The 19135-nt window shown below is 40.5% G+C and overlaps 1 long non-coding RNA gene across 1 annotated transcript; it reads right to left on the minus strand.

Annotated features, from left to right (window-relative positions):
- Window positions 1-6275: 6275 nt before the first annotated feature.
- Window positions 6276-15924, minus strand: LOC107986384 (uncharacterized). The gene is made up of 3 exons (XR_001742518.1): window positions 15872-15924; window positions 15585-15714; window positions 6276-6777 (listed from the first exon to the last, which is right to left on the minus strand). It is a non-coding gene; the product is annotated as an uncharacterized LOC107986384 (long non-coding RNA).
- Window positions 15925-19135: the final 3211 nt, after the last annotated feature.

Genomic DNA, 19135 nt, shown 5'->3' on the forward strand with positions numbered 1-19135 from the left:
ATCTTCAGAGACTTCTACCGGTCAATCAACACTTCAAATATTTTTCTAAGCTGCCCCTGGTAATTGCAACCTTTTAAGCATTTATTGGTGGTAGAATGGAAATACAACAACAGCAGTATAGTCATCCACTCAACAAACATTCACTGAGCACCTACAGTATGCAGTATTGAGCAACACAGTGTTTGCTAAGCAATGGAGGGCATGCGAAAATTTATAGGAAGCAGTGGCAACCATAAAGAAGTTTAGAGAAAGACACAAAAATTTCCTGAGTACCTATCATGGGCTGGGCACTGCGCTAAGTCTTAGTGTGTACAGATAACATTTCTGACTTTGAGGATTCAGTAGTCTAGAGGGGAGTGTAAGAGTCTTATATGTTCAATATAGTCTTATAAGTGCTGGGAAAGATGTTAGTAGCAGTGAATATTCTGGGCCACAGAGGAATACCCCCACCTATAGCTTGCTTGATGCTTGAATGGAGACTTAAAGGAAGAATAAGACTTACCTTAATAAAAAAAAAAATTAATAAAAGTAGAGAAGGACATTTGAACAAAGGGAACAGCATGTACAAAGGCAAAAGGGGAAGAGAGACCATGCACATTCCAGAAGCTACAGGAAATTTGCCTGGAGTGGGGTGATTGCGAGGCAGTTGTGCAGAGAAAGCTGGAGAGTAAGCAGACTGATTCTTGAACAGCTTTCTATGACTACCATGAAAAAGACTGGGTTTTAAATCCTTGAATAGCCTTGGGGAGCTACTGGAGGACTTTAAATAGAGAAATGACCTGATCAGATTTGCAATTTAGAAAACTCACTCTGAAAGCTGTGTGGAGAGATAGAGAGAGAGAGGAAGCTAGTGGAGGGGACAGCACAAGGATCCAAGTGAGAACTGATAAAAGTATGAGCCACGCTAGGTAGAGTAAGGAACGGAGAGGAGAGGATTGCATGCAATCTTAAGATTTCAAAAAACTGGGACTAGTGTGCGCCCATTTCAAAAGACTGGGCAAAGTTGATCTATTTGGCCAACTTCTAGCAAGATAATATTAATGAAACACCCATAGATTTAACAGGCAAAAAGCATTTACTTTTATTACAATGCACTTACTTATATTGCCAATACATGTCCTTTAACTGTAAATTATTTCACGTGATAGAACCAAGTACCTTTTGCAGAACACATCTTTTTAACAACAGCGGAAGTTGATGAGGAAATCAACATTTTACTCTCTTCAGGTGTCTAATGTATAAAGAGCTTCCTATAATTCTCCATAAAAACACATAAACAACAAGAAAAACACAGACAGACAGACCACACACAAACACAACAATTAAAACAGGAACCAAACAAAAGAAAAAAATGTTTAAAAAAGATAGATAGATAGATTCAAGACAAGCAACATTTCAAAATTCTGACTTAGATCATTCAGACCTTGGCTGCAGAAGCCTCCAGATCCCATGCTACTCACCTGCTGTCTTGGTTAGGTTTTCAAAGGCAGACTCTGAGATGAGTATGGAATACTATATGTTTATTAGGGATCAACAACCTTGTGAAAAAAAGCGAAGGAAGTAGGATTGGACAGAGAAAGACGTTAGCTAGATTACAGGCCTGACAACGCGTACACCAATCTGGCAGAGATCTCTGGAGGAAACATTGGCCATCAGAGTTTCCTCTGTCTGGCCAAAATGTCCTGGTCTTTACATCCCAGCCTCATTTACCAGCTGCAAGCTGCCCCAGGGAGGATGTGATCTCTCGAGAGGTGGTTTTTTGCAACTGAGGCAGACCTTGAAGATGCTGGCACTCCCCAGAGCAGAATAGCATGTTTTTTCTTAAAAGAAGATCTCCTTTTCTTAAAAGGAGTTTCTCCCACACCTGCACACCCCTGTTTGGATGGCGCTCAAAGATAGAACCAGGCCATATTCTTGGCCTTGGTGGAACTATATCTAGATTGCTCCAGCCAGATGGCTATATCTCCTATACTTAGAAGTACTATTTTAGAATTATAGAAACATGAAAATTGTGTTGAGAAAAGAATTCAAAATTGAGTTTAAAATCATTTATTAATAATAAGATACCAGTGGGAATGAAATGAAAAAAAGCAGAAAAAAGTTAATAGTAATATGAGGTTATTGTTTTCATACTTTTCTGTGTATATAGTGGGAATCACAAAATGAGACATACAAAGCAAGCATGTAGGTTCATAGAACTAGAAGGCAGATTAGAAAGGGGTACAGAGCCCTCCTGAACGCTAGGAGAAAACTGGTTTCCTTCCTCCATTCAGTCAGTTACAGCCTCACCTGAGGGACCTTTACCAAGACCTTTAAATTCTCTTTGCTTGCATCACTAATACCTGAACGGTATTTATAACAGGAATACTATTATGTAGAAATATGACACAAGGTACAGGATAGAAGTGGAGATAATTTTAAAAATCAATAGAATGACTAAATAAAGACTGGCTCATCAGAGTTTAGAATATCAGTCTTTTTTTTTTTTTTTTTTTTTTTTTTGAGACAGAGTCGTGCTCTGTCGCCCAGGCTGGAGTGCAGTGGCGCGATCTTGGCTCACTGCAAGCTCCGCCTCCCGGGCTCAAGCCATTCTCCTGCCTCGGCCTCCCAAGTAGGTGGGACTACAGGTACCCACCACCACGCCCGGCTAATTTTTGTATTTTTAGTACAGACGGGGTTTCACCATGTTAGCCAGGATGGTCTCGATCTCCTGACCTTGTGATCTGCCCGCCTCGGCCTCCCAAAGTGCCGGGATTACAGGCGTGAGCCACCACGCCCGGCCTATCAGTCTTTTTTAACGTCATGGTAGAATAAGGCAGAAAATAGTGAAGATCTTTAATTGTGATTCCTGTAACTTGGTACTAGGTACTGAGTTCATAAATTCCTCATCCCTCGGAATTTATTTCTATGGTTAAAACTCATCGATTTAGATCCCATAAATTTGTAATGTTGCAGTAATACAGTTGTAGTATGTCATTCTGGCTGAGAAAATATTTTACAATGATTCCCCTCCTTATAAAGCAGGGGCCTACTAATCTTCTTCAAGCATATCTTCAGATTCTAGGCCCAGCAGTTATTTCCATAGTGTCAAGCATGGTCATGATCCATTTATCATGGCCCAATAATGACTGTATTTTTTAAACTAATTGACCTATTCTTAGAAAATATTATTTTTTCATAAAATGCAAATTATTTAGAAAATTACAAATAGCATCAACTTCAAAAAATGTATTTTTCACCAAAATTTGGATATGGGGTTTTCTGCTCCACTTTCACTTCGTACGTCCCATTGTAACCCCTTTCCCAACCCAACTAATGGAGCTCTGCCTACAAGCCATGCTATATTTCAGAGAGCTCTGTCCACTCAGGCCCAGAAAAAACAGATTGGTGTAATAATGCTAGGGTGAAAAGAGAATGGAGGAAAAAGGAGGAAGGAGGTTCAGAAATGGGTAAATTATAATATCTAAACTAAATATATACCCATATGTGCCCCCAAAATATCTCAAGACTAACCAGACCAGGCCAGTTTCCCACAAACACTTTGGTCCTTGAGTTTCTTTATAACAAGCTGTATTACTGGCCTATGGAAAATAATACACATAAAAGCTACCATCTTAATAGTTTTAGGAGTTATTTTAAAAGTTATTTAAAAATAACTTTTAAAAATCCAACAAATTAAGTTAAATGCTTTGATTTTAGAAGTGTCTATGTTTAATGAACAATTACATTAGATGCCTGTAACTGTTTTTAATCGTAAAGAAAATCTTGGTCTTAGGCACAGTATCCATCATGAGTATAACAAGAAGACCCCTGTGGCCCTCCCCCTCTATCACGATGAGCGCTACCACTAGGCACTGGACACCAGACCGTCTGCCAATGTCGTCCCCCACAGCTAGAAGCTCAACCGTCACCTTTGCCAGAAAATGGATTCTGAGCAGCACCTACTTCCTCTCATTGTTCTTTTCCAAAACAATCTCTCCAGCTAAGGTGCACTGGCTGGGTCTAGGTCACATGTGTGTAAATATATGTATATATATTTAAGGGTGCAACTTTGCTATAAGAGAAGCTGGGAAAATGTGTTTGGGGTTCATACTTTGGAAAGGCCGGACTCCTGCTGTGGGGGATTCCTGAAACACAGAAAGGGTGTTCAAAAGGTAGTAAGTGGCCACAAAAACCTAGGCATGTATCTGTAAGAGTGAAATGCCACCAAATACAGACACCGAAACGTGTGCATCAAATTACCGGTAGTGGGTGTTAAATTTTCCCAATCATGGAACTAGGAGAAATACTGGTATTCCCAGGGGAGCTAAAGAGTCATATGAGCACCTATTGCTGACATCTTTCCTTGTGCCCCGGACTCTTCCAGATGGCAGGAAGTTCCTGCTTAGGCCTCTAGCCGGGCCCGTCTCCACGAGCTGACCCTTGCTACTGTGCAGGGGTAAGCTGCCAGGCCAGCAGGGACGAGGACTCACCTACACAGGCATAACCTGCTATCCATTAACAATCTGGAAATGTAACTGACACACAGTGGAGAAAAGAAGAGGTTTCCAGCCTTGTTACTCTATATCTCCTAATTATTAGGTAAAGGGGAACATTATAATTGAGTTATGAAACAACTAAATAAAAATAGAATACCTGACAGAGAGCTGCTTTACATGACGTTTCTACATGAGAATAAACAATGCGTTCTTTGTAGAGCTTAAAAAAAAACAGGTTAGCTTTATTCTAGAAACTACAGTCTCTCGTTGTAACTAGACTAGTGCTTGTATTTGTTGACATCCTGATTTATAAAAACCTGAACAAGTTCAGTTTCAATAATTCTTTTTGTTCAAGGAACACAAGAGAAGGGGGAAAAAGATTGATGTCTGCCCCTAAAAAATGGCATATGCAAAAGATTTAGAATTCTCTTTGTTCAACTCTGGGTCAGATTTCATGAAAAAGCGATTAAAATTCCTTTTGCTCCCATTCTTCATGCATGTATGGAGGTTTGTGTTCCTAATGAGCACCAAGAAGCTTCCTCGCACAGAACTTTGTCTTTGAAAGATAAAATAACCTGTTTCCCTCAACTCTTCTCCATCTTGTTTCTCTGTTATTGACACCCCCTCCTCAACCACAACAAAGAATGTGTGCTAATTGATTCACTGTTGAAAAATTCAATTTAATGCCTAGAATTGGTGGCATGTGCTAAGTAATCAAAGTTGGACCTGAAGCAGGGGAATAAAGGGGACTGGGTTCTGTTACCATTTTTTAACACTGAATCACTATGGGGAGGTAAAAGCAAGAGTAATTGTTTTCAAGAAATGGCAAACAAGTGGTTCACCATACGTTCAGATTAATGAATTTGGTGTCGTAATATGCTTTGAGACTCTTTGTTTAGAAAGAAAGATAACAAATGAAAGTGGTAATATATAAATAAAACTATTTGGAAAGAGTCCCATGTAAGCCATGCTTTTTCATAAAATGTTAGTGTCTTTACATCAAATGATAAAAGTAAAAAAAAAAAACAAAGGAATATTCAAAGTACAGGTTCTAGTAAGGAAAAGCAACCAGATGAGTTAAAGAAAATCTCTCTATTTGTGTTATTTACACAGAAACTCCCCTTCTCCAAGTAGCCCCTTATCCTAAATGCATGTGATTCTTATAATGCAGTACCCCCCTTATCCATGTTTGCCTGTGTAATTCACTTTCCTACTATCATCCATGGCTTGTATCACTAGAGTAACAAACAATTATGATTATTTTTAAATTATTATTATTATTATTATTATTATTTTGAGACAGGATCTCACTCCGGTGCCTAGATTGGAGTGCAGTGGTGCAAACACGGCTCACTGCAGCCTTGACCTTCTGGGCTCAAGTGATCCTCCCACCTCAGCCTCCCGAGTAGCTGGGATTACAGACTTGTGCCACCATGCCTGGCTAATTTTTGTATTTTCTGTAGAGATAGGGTCTCACTATGTTGCCCAGGCTGGTCTCAAACTCCTAGCCTCAAGCATTCCTCCTGCCTTGACCTCCCAAAGTGTTGCGATTACAGGCATGAGCCACCACACCCAGCTGAGATTATTTTTTAAATGCTCTTTCAGCATAGCACATTCACTTTTGCTACAGGTTTCATTTTCAAGCAAATATAGCAAGGCATTAAACCTAATTGCTGATTCAGGCTTAGCATACCAAAGTCTTATAGATAAACAATACTTTACAGATTACTCAGAGTCCCTCTTCTCTAAATCAGTTTCTGAACCAAAGAGGATGAATAGGGCTCAAGAATACCCAGAAAGTTGTGAGACGATTTAATAGATTATCCCAGTACTGGAGCTGAGAGGCCAAGAAACAGCCCCATGTTACTGTTGCCTGGTGACATGTTCTGCCCCATCACATGCCATGGATGATGGAGAAATATGGTAACTAACATTTCCTGCCCTTCCTGCTCTTTTTTCTTGCTCTTCTGTGGAATCAATGACTCATTTATGGCATTACAGACACAACAGATGACGTTTCATGCTTTGTCAACAGAGGCATGCCCTTCATTTTTGCCAATGGGAATGTCAAGTAACAGCTAATATCTTTGAACCCAAAGTTGCCAGGAAATGTGAGGGTAAAATTTGCCCCTATTGTACTGTTTCCAAGTCAATCAGACACCACCTGGAGCTCAAATGTGACCATGGCCTACTGTATCCTGATTATCCAGTCTATTACATATCAGAGTTCTTTTTATTTCCCTCTGTCAATCCCATCTTTCTCTTGGCCACTGCACTGCTCCTCCACCTCAGTGAAGATCTAGAAGGAGAAAAAAAGTGAAATTAGTTTATTAATTGTGCTTTATGTTGGGGAAAATTATTTGGATCGAAGCATTTTGCAAAAAAAAGTAGGGTTTGAACGTTATCTGTGGGTTTGCATCTTTATTCCTATTAGAAAACCAAGTTAATTAAGAAATAGGCCCAGCTCGGTGGTTCACGCCTGTAATCCCAGGACTTTGGGAGGCTGAGGCAGAAGGATGACTTGAGGCCAGGAGTTCGAGACCAGCCTGGCCAACATGGCGAAATTCTGTCTCTACTAAAAATACAAAAAGTTAGCCAGCTGTGGTAGTGCGTGCCTGTAATCCCAGCTACTTGGGAGGCTGAAACAGGAGAATCTCTTGAACCTGGAAGGTGGAGGTTGCAGTGAGCCGAGATCACACCACTGCACTGCACTCCAACCTGGGGGACAGAGTGAGACCCTGTACCGAATAATAATAATAATAATGGTACTTTTAGATGTACTCACTCACAAAAGCCTTACTGTTTTCAAAGTCCTTTCAAATAATTATTTATTTTGATCTTCCTAAAATTCCTGTGACATATGTTGAGGTGATATTATTTATTTTTTATTTTAATATCATCATGAATTGTCTCATTTAATAGATGAAAAAACTGAGGACAAAAATGGATGAAGCTTGCTTGGGAATACCTAGCTAACAGTTGTGAAGTTGAGACTAGATACCAGCTCTTCTGACCCATGGTCCTAGATGCTTTCTGCTTGATTGTCTGCCTCTGCTCTCTGGACAGTCGCACAGTTCTTAGCTGGAAGGGTCTTATATACAATTTTCCCCTTCACGACCTTCTAGGTTCCAAAAATGTGGTTGTAGATATTGGAATGCATTGTCCCACTAGAACAATCATGCCTATTATATTCTATAGACCCCTGTGTCCATTCTCAAAAACCTATGATTGATCCACAAGAGTTAAGTAAGTTACTTTAAAACAAAATATGCTTCACAGAGCAATATTCCCTCAAGAAAGTTTCAAGGAAAAAAGTTTCAAGGTCAAATAAGTTTGAGAAACATAGAATATCATATATCCCTCTCAGAGATTTGTAATGTACATTTGCATATTAAAGGCTTTAAGTTTTCTTTAAAGAAAAGAAAACTGCTTAAAATGGTTCCATTGAGAATTCATCAACTTTATTTGACTTTGAAATCTTTTTAGTGAGTAAAACATATTAACACCCCAAACTACAGTTCCCCAAAACACGCTTTGGAAATTGCTGCTATAGAAAAATATGATGTGTGACGATTTAAGATATTAGGAGCACTTCTTCCACTGTGAGATTAAGGGTTACCCTGAAGGTAAGAGGGATGTTGGTGATCATTCCCTTGATATCAGTCAGGGACTAGAATTAGTGATGGGTATTGTTGGGACATACAAAGCAGAACCAGGCATGGAAGGATAAGGAACAGAATGATAAAGGCAAGGAATGATGCCTTGGAACACTGAGACGAGACCAGGAGGACAGGCTGGAGACACATAAATGGTGAGTGACAAGAGAGCAGCTAGCTTGGGATTTGTACCGTCTTCCTCGTTCTGCTCCCTCCTCTGATCCTGCCACTGCAGACACACTCCTGGACAAAATCAAGACTGGGAAGCAGGGATGTGGCAGAGACACAGACGGGTGGACCCAAGCATTGAGGGCTGCCATGGAAGGAGAAGCCGAGAGGAGAGAAATGCCAAGGAGCTGGAGCAAAGAGGACATCTGGCGGGAGTAACTGGTTTCCAATTGTTCTTCTCAGGAAAGGATGAAAACCAGACGCTGCTTTCGTACCCTATGTTCTCCAACAGTCAAATGACCATCCAATTTATCATCCATACAAAGACACTTTTGCACTATTAATCACCATGCGAGGACAACAGATGTAAACTGAGACTATCCCAGCCAGGCACGCAAAGATATGTGTTCACCTCATGCAATATTAAATGATAGTTGAAAGTATGGAGGAGTTATTTGGAGATTGTGGTGGTTCCTTTTTGAACTATGAACCATGGCATTCAGAAAAAAGAAAAGATAGGGAAGTATGTATTGATCATGTTAGTTATAATGACTTCCGCTTGAAATAATTTATTTAGCCAAAAATGCTTTCATGACCCCATTCAGCAAGCATGTATTGGGCATCTGTGATAGGAAAAGCACTGTGCTCCGTACTGTGGCGGATATGGAGATAAACAATACACACTATGCTCCAAAGGAGCTTCTGGTCAACACAGTGAATTAGGGGATGTGCTCAAATAGACAAGTTCCAAGTAAATGATCACAGGTGGTTATAAGAGAGCTAAGGACGAAATGCTGGGAAGTTCTGAGGAGGGGAGGCTAGGGGACACTTTGGAGATTTGACCATGCTTGAACTAGGCCTTGGGGGACAAGCTGATTATTCACAGTCTGGGGGCACAGGGAAGGGGAGATAGACCTTTCCAGGTGGTAGGACAGCAGATGCCCAGAGGAGTGTGTTTGAGGTGCCGATGGTGCAATTTGGCAGCAGTAGAGGATCCATGAAGAGGACAAGTGGGAGGTGAAGTTGAGAAAGTTAAGCTGGGCAAGCCTGTGTAGCGACTTAAATGCTAACATAAAGCAAATGGATATAATAAATTCAGGAAATAATTGAAAACTTTGATTATATAGTAGCGGACTGGGACTACCACAAAGTAGAATGTCAGCTCCTTACTGCTCTGGAAAACTTTGGAAATGTTGGGGCCAGCTCCGCAATTTTACAAGGTTGAACCCAGAAAGTGAGGGACTTGGAAACATTTGAGTTAAATATAAATATTAAGATTCTTATCAAATCTAATTTAGGCACTCGTTTTAGCTTTCTACTGCTGCTGTAAAACATTATCGCAGATTTACTAGCCTAAAACAATACAAATTTATTCTTCTACAGCTCTGCGGGTTAGAAGCCCAACATGAATTTCAATGGGTTAAAATCAAGTTGTCAGCAGGAACTTCCTTCCCTCAAGCCTCTAGGGAAGTCTCTTGAGGCCTAAGAGAAGTCTCTACAGGTCTGAGGGAAGAATGTTCCTTGGTTTTCTCCAGCTTCTACAGGATACTCACATTCCTTGGCTCATGGCCCCAGTCTTCCATCTTCAAAAGCAGCAATGGTGGATGGAGATTTCGCAGACCCTATCACTCTGACCTCGTCTTCTGACTTCCTCTTCACTTTTAAGAACACTTGTGATAATTATATTTAGCTCATGTGAGTAATCCCAGAGACTCTCCCTGTCTGCTGATTAGGGACCTTAATTCTCCTTTGCCATGTAAGTAACATATTCACAGGTTCACAGGTTCATGAGATTAGGATAGGAACATCAGGAACATCTTTTGGGTTGGGGGGTGGCTACTATGCTGCCTACCATGGCAATCTAGCAGTCAGGATCTTCCATGATTTTTTGACTCTCCCACAACCCCTGCCCCAGGCATGGGCAAATTGCCTCATCCTGTATTCCTCAAGGCACCTCTAATACCCATTGCTGCATATAACAGACTTCTACTGAAGACGCGTGGATCACGAAGGGTGATCACAGCATAACAGAAAAGCACTTACATTTGAATATAATGTCTTTTTGCTCTAAGGTTTTTGGGAGTTTTTTTAATAGCTACTTTCCCCTTTGGTCTGCCCACTCTCCCCATCTCCAGGGAATTTTTCCCTCTTATTCTCTCTTCTCCAAGCCCCAGGCCTGCCAAAATACCTCCCTCCCAATCCTCATTGGAAATGGAAAATTCCTGTTACTTTATTATTTAAAGCAATTTGGCTTGGTTTATCTTAGCTTTTCCTATCCAGGCCAAATCCTGGGCCTTCCCCTTCATAACCAAAAAGATCCATCAACATCTTCTGAGACAAATTCTTTGTCTGCAGTCTGTTTTAATTATTTTTAATAGGTACTCTTCTTCTCCGTACATGCTATCAGAGAAGGCTTTAATACCAATTTTAGAAAGAGCATTCCCTTTCCATTACAGGGAGGCGACCTTCTGTAGTACGGGGACTAATTGGACGGTGGTTTACAAAGTAATGAAACTAACAGGCAAGCGATCACCTGGGATAGTGAAACCAGCCTGAGTCTAGGAATCAAGAAAGCTGGGTATTTTCTCCAGTCGTGCCTCAAATGACCTGGGGACTTTGTGCAAGTCACAGTCTCTCTGAGTCACCATTCTGTCATGTGTAAAATAGGAAAGTTGAATTAGATGTTCTCTGGGTTCCAAAATTCTAGTTGGTTAGATTTTGTACTTTGCACTTTCTTGACGTAGAGTTTGGCTCTTGGAGAAATCAGCTCCAAGCAATCTATGTAATATTCAGCCTGTGGGTCACTCCTAAAAATTTAGAGGACTTTGATGAAATGATGAAGCTGGAATTACATATTAAAGACATACTTTCTAGTGCCTTATGGATCTCTGATCATACTGTAAATGCCTCATTGAATTAGTGGAGTTTATGTTTGTCGCCGGGGGAGTTTGACATAATAAGCAGTTGAAAACAACGAGTGTCACAGGGGCTTCTGGGACCACAGAAACTCTGCTACTATGATATCTGGTGTAATTCCCTGGGATTACACTCAATCTGGGGACCCTAAGCTTTTTCCTGTATTATTAAAAGGGTTGTTGGGATGGTAGCCAACCTGTGGAAGCCACAGTGACTGACTGAAAAGAGAAATATGACACAAATCAGAGAGTTTTGGGGCAAAGATTAATTTAGAGGTTGCATATGGGATGGAATGAAATAGTGGCAAATAGGCAGCAGGAAAACCAATTAAGAGGCTGTTGTAAATGTTGTTATAATAAAAATGTAACAGGATGCTGGATGGGACTTTTCCTGTTGTCTCAGGGTTTCCGCTGAAGCACCAGGGCCAGAGACAATAGGCAGTGGGAGTCTGCTCATTCTCGTAACAGTTCCTGAACCCATCAATGTGGGACTTGCTCACCAGGTCTCTGACTATGTATTCCATCATGCCCTCATCCTATTTATAAGGGAAATTAGTGAATCATGAAAGAGAAGACTCTGACATGTAAGGGAATTTGGAAAAATGGAAAGTGCTGTGGTTTCTCTCTCCCCTCAAATCACATGTTCCCTGGAGTTTAAAGAACAGAGGCTCATGCCTGACTCTTGACTACAGGTGGGCAGGGACAGAGAGGACAGCAATGGGAGAGCCTGATCTTCCAGACTTTGACAGGGAAAGGGGGGTGAATTTCCCATAAGTTCAACAGATAACCCGGAAGGTAGCTGGGTTCCAGGGCTGCACGCTGGACCAGAAAGAGTATTGCTTTCTTGGGAGAAGAGTGTAGTATTTGACATTCTCTTAACAGTGACCATATGGAGGGGTGAGAGTCTCCATCTCACAAAAGTGTTCCATGAAAGGAAGGGCCAGCAGATGGACAGTTGCCTGGATGGAGGCCATTTGAGAGAGTCTATCAGGAGAGAACCGAAAGAGAAGTACGAGGACAGCAGCTACCATCTCCTCTTGTTGTCCTTGCTGCCCCCCCAATCCTCCCCTATGCCACTATCCCATCCTCAACCGTAAAGGAGCCAGAGGCAGGTGACAGAGAAGGTAGAACCAGGAGGGCCAAGGAGCAGATCCTGCGCTGCTCCCTCCGCTGATCTGTGGGATCCCTGGCCTGGCCTGAGCTGAGGAGAGGAGAAACACTTTCAAGTGGGTGGCAAATGGAAGTTTTGATTTAGGTTGAACTAGATGTTTTTAAATTCTAAAAATGAACTGTTGTCTAATATCCTCAAGTAACAGGAAAATACACAGAATCTGCCTGAGGTATCATCCAGGAGTAGGAAAGGGAGGTAAGACAGAGCATGTTTGAAGGCAATGAAATTTAAAAATAAAACTGCTTCCTGTTTGTAACTCATAGAGTCCAGATCCAATAATGAAATGATATGAAAGCAATAATAAACAATGAAAATAGCAACAATAATTAAAAAAAACCATCTGTTGAACATTTACAGTTGCGCCAGACTGTTAGATACTAAAGATGCATTAATTTACTTATCCTTCCAATAATTCCATGAGGTACCCACTACTATAAAATTTAATCCCATTTAGCAGATTTGAAACTGAAGCTCAAAGAAGTTAAGTAATCTGCTACAAAATAGTGTTAATAAGTAGCTAATTTCATATCCCATAATCCATTTAAAACTAGAATTGGGTGGCAGTTATAAAAGCGGAAGGAAGCAAGAAGTGAATGAAGTCTATGTGTTTATCATTCTAATCAGGATATCATAATTGGCAAAAAGTGATGACACAATGTATGTACATTGGTACCACTTTAGTTATTATATAGCCCACAAGTAACATTTGTTGCTAAATATAAAACTAATAAATGCACATGTTAGGTAATTTGCTTTTGGTGGGTTGTTTTGTTTTGTTTTGATTTGTTGTTTGTTTTTGTTTCTCAAGAAATGTTTCTTGGTCATTTTGAAATTCCTTCCCTGGAATGCAACTGATATATTAATTTGTCATGTATGCCATGTAAATGTTCTATTAGGCATAGGGTATTTGATGGAAATAACTGAGTGCATATTCATTGTTTTAGTGATGAGGTAACAGCTTAAAATAGACACCTACATTCAAGAACAGCTTCTACCCTATGAACTCCTTGAAGTAGGGATCTTATTTTCCCCCTCGTTGAGCTCTAACCTGCATACTTATGAGGTATCTGGCACACTGTGGGCGCTTATTAATCTAGGACCTTTTCATTGAGAACCTGCTAGGTCCCAGGCACTGAATTGAGTTTTCTGTGCATATGCCAGCGCACACCTCTTTATGGGTGTGTGTTTGCAGTCTTGGCCACGCCCTTTCTGCCATCTACAGAGAATTCTGGCTTTTGCTCTGCAGCTTCTCCTCTTCCCTGCTCTCTGAGGAGAATCAGACTTTTTCCAGGTTCCTAGGCATTTCTGATGCAGAATTAAGAGACCTGGAGCCAGAGGGACAGAACTAATGAGGTGGGTGGAAGAGGAAGGAAAAGAAAGATTAGCCCTAGGAGAGCAGGACTTCGGGGAGAAGGATGAGAGAAAGGCGTGGCCATTCATGTTTCTCCCAATCAATTTGTCGTAGATTACAAACAGGGTATCTTTTATTGTGCTCTGAGAAACCCAGGTAAAGAATGTGATTTACTTCTGTTTCTAGCCTCTGTCTCTTCTCCAAGATAGGACCAAGTAGGTCCCAGTTTACATATATATTATTTCTAATATTTAGAACACCCTGACAGTGTAGGCATTATTGTTTTTAATTTCCAAGTGAGGAAAGAGCCTTAAAGCAGGCCAGTCATTTTCTCAGGGCTCCTCAGCTAAAGCTACGATTTGAATCCAGTTCTGGTGAGCCCAAAGCCTGCTGTCCTTCTGCAATGCCACACTATGTCCCCATAACCATCTGTTGAATTGAGCTGAATCAAAATGCTTCCCTTGTGAGGGGCCTCTATTTATTCTGGTATCATACACAAATGGGAAAGGCTTATTTCTGATATTTGATTCAGAAGAGAAAAGCTTAACTACTATCCTGGAAAGCAGGCCTGCCTTCTGTACTAAGCTTGCCTGTGGGCTTGATGGTTCATTTTGAAGTCCAATCACTCTGCACCTAGGAAATGGCAATGTTTACCACAAAAGGTTCAGCAAAAACTGTTGCTAAAATTGCTCTGTGGCCATTCATGTTTCTTAAAATCAATTTTTTTGACCAGGTAGCTGCCTGATGCACAGAAGTGAGAAGGAAAAGGTTTCTTCAAACTGCCAACTAAGTTACCCCAGACCTTTCAATGGCCGAATAGTAAACAAAAATAAATGCACTTGTTTTGGTGAATTATCATCTTAAATGGCTTGAAGGAATGTTCTCATGGTCTATTGCCATAGAAACCATGATAAAATTTCTTATAAATACTTCAGAAACAGGACTACCTACCCCCATGGAAAATGGATAGTGTGTACAATGGACCTCCAAGGAAATAAGTGGCTGTGTGACAGAAAATAATGTAACCCATTAAAAGAAATCTCTTGATGATCCAAGTCATAATGGATGAACTGTGTATATGAACAGAAAAGGGGAAAAAAAAAAGAATCTGACAGTCGTATGAGGTGGTTTTGGACTGGTGTTCAGACACCATTTTCCAAAGTTGCATAAACTTTCTTTCTTACTGAGGAAACATTCTGTAGGCATTAACAGTGAAGTGATTGCATCTATATTCAGAGAGTACATGCACAGAGCCATTATGGACCAGAAAGGAATTGTATAAAAATGATTTGACAAAAAAAAAATAGTCAGTCTGCTATGCCAAAATCCAGAGGACTCTACCTCAAGGTGAATCTTATTCAATTCCAAAATGTCAAGTAGATCTAGTCATTTTAATATTTTTATTAGATTAAAACTTGATACCTTTATAAAAGCTAAAGAAACTGACCGGAATATAGGCTCCAGCACTGATAAATTGTGTGATCTTGGGCAAGTTGCTTGGCTTCTCTAAGCCTCAGTTTCCTGATCCGTAAACTGAAGGTGGTGCTTATATTTATGGCAGGATTAAGTAAAATAACCCAGGCAAAGCACTCCACACTGTTTTCAGCACTCAGTAAGCACTCAACAGTAAGTGTTAGAAAGTACTTATCAGAAGTAATAATAAATATAATAACTGATAATAAGTTTGCACAACTCATCAACATATAGTGCTAATTTTTTCATTCTCTTTTCCCCTTGAACTCATAGACAATATCTGATCTTAAATAATTGAAAAGAATGTGCTCAGAGAGGAAGCAAACACAGATCTGAAAGTCACAGTCCACGCAGTTTCTACATTGCTCTGACCTTTCTGATATTGGTGGATCCGGAACATTCAAAGTGCCATGGGCATCCTTCTTGCAGTATTTCCTCCTGATGTTTGAAAAGAAAGTCTGTTTTCATAAGACCTTGGGCCTGATTTCCAGTGGGAAAAGGGCTGAAAAAAATTTGGCTTCATTTCCAAGTATCTTTGCATATTTCCCCAATTGCACAGAACCTCCAAGCTTCCCCAGATTACCTCGTTTCAATGACATCGAATCTTTCAAAGGGAATGTAATAATTCCACAGAGGACTTAGCATTTCTGACAGCTTACCTCCCACTGTCCTCAGAGCTTCATAAATTATGCTGCCTCTGAATGTGAGCTGGGCAGCACCATTTTCCTGGCCCCTTACGTGATTCATGGTTTCTCTTAACTATGTCAGTGCCTTGTCAGCAAAGCTGTTCCTTTTGGACACAGTATGATGTGATCTGCTTCTTGGAGGACAGCTTGCTAATTATGTACTGATTTTATATACTGATGATTTTGTTTTACAATTTCAAGGTAACTAATAACTATTAACTTTAGAAATTACTTCCAAATTCAGAAAACATTACCATTTAATTAACAATCTGCTCTCTGCAATACACTGTGACCTGAGAAACCACTCTAATGGTAATACACTGTTATCATTAAAATTAACCAACAAACCAAAAGAATGGGTGCTGTTAAGGTCAGATATGGAAAGACCATAATTAAAAGAAAGTGAAACTAAAAACAAGTATCAGACCAAAAGATCAACACAGCACAGACAGCCGCCGTGCCAGCTTCCCTGTTTTGCACTGCCAAAACAGCTCCCTCCTGACCTGCAGCTCCGCAGAATTCCAAACCTAGGCCCTTCTGGAGCTCAGGGCTGAGACAATTTGTTGCATGGTTTAGTAATGGAGGCTCAAAGCAAAGTGGATAAAACATTCCTGAAAATGACATGCCTCTAAAGTTCCCTCTGAGGTATCTATGATCTTTACATATGAGAATGAGCTATACATTTTTATGAATAAGTTTTATCTTTCCCCAGCCTTCAGAACTTCCCACAAGTCTTCCAAGCTACACAGGCTCTTCCTGACTTAGGAAGCTTCCACTCAGGGACGTTTGGTGGACGTTGTTCATGTGGGGCCTTCCCAGCATTGTCCTTGCCCCTGTGTCCTCAGGGAGGGTCTTGTCATTGCCAGATGCTTCTTTAGAGCTAGAGAATGCAGAATTGAGAGAAAGAGAAGAGAAGAAGGAAAAAGGCACATGGGATATGTCTAGGAAAAAAGGTTTTCAAGATTTAGAGAAGAGAGTTCTTGAAAAGCTATAGGAAGTCAAGAGGGGTAGAAAAGGAGGCTGTGGACTGTGTGCTGACAGCATGGTGTTTGAGAAAGGCAAATAAAGAACTCAATCAATTATTCTGAAATTACCTTTTAGGTACAGGCTATGTTTCTTGGTCAACATGACTACCTTGAGGTTAGACCTCTTGAATTTCAGCCTCAGGAGAATTTCTTTGGGAAAGATTACTACAGAAAAAAAGTTGGCACTACTCGGTTCTACTGCCAGAGTCCACCCGACTTCTGAGGCTTAGACACAGGAACCCTAGAGTCAGTATCGTACAAGGCTCCCTGCCCAACTCCCAGCTCCTGCTGTTGCTCAAGCTCCTCCACCAGTTCCATCCTGGGTCTCTCTCCTTAGAGGATTTTAAGAGGCCCAAGGCTTACAGAGAATAAAGGCATAGGGATTGTGCTACCTTAGAAGGATTTAAAAATTGGCCCAGGACAGGCCGGGTATGGTGCCTCATGCCTGTAATCCCAGCACTTTGGGAGGCTGAGTGGGGAGAATCACCTGAGGTCAGGAGTTTGAGACCAGCCTGGCCAACTTGGTGAAACCTCATCTCTACTAAAAATACAAAATTAGCTGAGCGTGGTGGCGAATGCCTGTAATCCCAGCTACACTGGAGACTGAGGCAGGAGAATCACTTGAACCTGGGAGGCGGAAGTTGCAGTGAGCTGAGATCGTGCCACTGCCCTCCAGCCTGGGCAACAAGAACAAGACTCCATCTCAAAAAAAATAAAAATAAATAAATAAATAAAAATTGGCCAGGGACAGAAGGCTAAAAGCCATTATGGGTTAAGTAGGGGTTTTTTGTTTTTTTTTGTTTGTTTGTGCTTGGCCTGAATTGATAATCTACCATTTTAAACATTGTTTCTGTTGGAAAAAAATGTGTTCTGATTTCCCCAAAATGGGTATATACAGGGATTTTTAAATCAATGCCCAAAGTAGGTCTAGGATAGTCACTCAATGCTTCTTAGGTTATGTTGATGTTGATTTGGCTTAATTTTTATTTTCAAAGGACAGATTCATCATTTATATTTTTAAAATATGTATATGTAGGTATGAATATAAATAAGAGTATTGGATATACACCAAGATGTTAATAATAATCTTTAGGCTGTAATATTATAATTGATACTTTCTTTTCTATATCTTTATATTTTCCAGAATAAGAAAACAATGAGGATTTTTCATTTTTAAGAAAGCAAATAACATTGAGAAACAAAATTTACAATAGCTTCAAAAAACATTTTAAATACGTAGAAGTAACTTAATAAATGAAGTGCATAACTTCTGTGCTGAAAAAGGATACAATATTGCAGAGAGAAATGAAAAAAGATTTAAATAAACAGAGAGATATCATGTTCATGGATTGAAACACTCAATGGTGTCATAACGTCAGTTCTTTCCAAAGTGATCTATAGATTCAATGTGATCTCAGGCAAAATCCCAAGAGGCTTTATTGTAGAAATTCATAAGCTGATTCTAAAATATGCAGTCATGTGTCACTTAATGATGGGGATATGTTCTGAGAAATGTGTCATTAGGCAATTTCATCATTGTGTGAACATCACAGAGTTTATTTACACAAACCTAATATAGCACATTTTACACCTAGGCTATGTGGTATAGCGTATTGTTCCTAGGCTACTACCCTGTACAGCTTGTTACTGTACTGAATACTGCAGGCAACTGCAACACAATGGTAAGTATTTGTATATCTAAACTTGTCTAAACTTAGAAAGAGTACAGTAAAAATAAGGTATAAGAGATAAAAAATAGTATACCTATATAGGGCACTTACCACGAATGGAGGTTGTAATGGAAGATGTTCTGAGTGAGTCAGTGAGTGAGTGGCAAGTGAATGTGAAGGCCTAGGACATCACAGTACACTATGGTAGACTTTTTTTTTTTTTTTTTTTTGAGATGGAGTTTCGCTCTGTCACCCAGGCTGGAGTGAGGTGGCGCGATCTCGGCTCACTGCAACCTTTGCCTCCTGGGTTCAAGTAATTCTCCTGCCTCAGCCTCCCGAGTAGCTGGGATTACAGGCGCATGCCACCACACCTGGCTAATTTTTGTATTTTTAGTAGAGACGGGGTTTCACCATGTTGGCCAGGCTGGTCCCGAACTCTTGACCTCAGATGATCCACCTGCCCGGGCCTCCCAAAGTGCTGGGATTACAGGCCATGAGCCACCGCACCCGGCCCACTACGGTAGACTTTTTAAACACTGCAC

The sequence above is a fragment of the Homo sapiens genome, chromosome 5, assembly GCF_000001405.40.
Source record: "Homo sapiens chromosome 5, GRCh38.p14 Primary Assembly".
Taxonomy (NCBI): domain Eukaryota; kingdom Metazoa; phylum Chordata; class Mammalia; order Primates; family Hominidae; genus Homo; species Homo sapiens.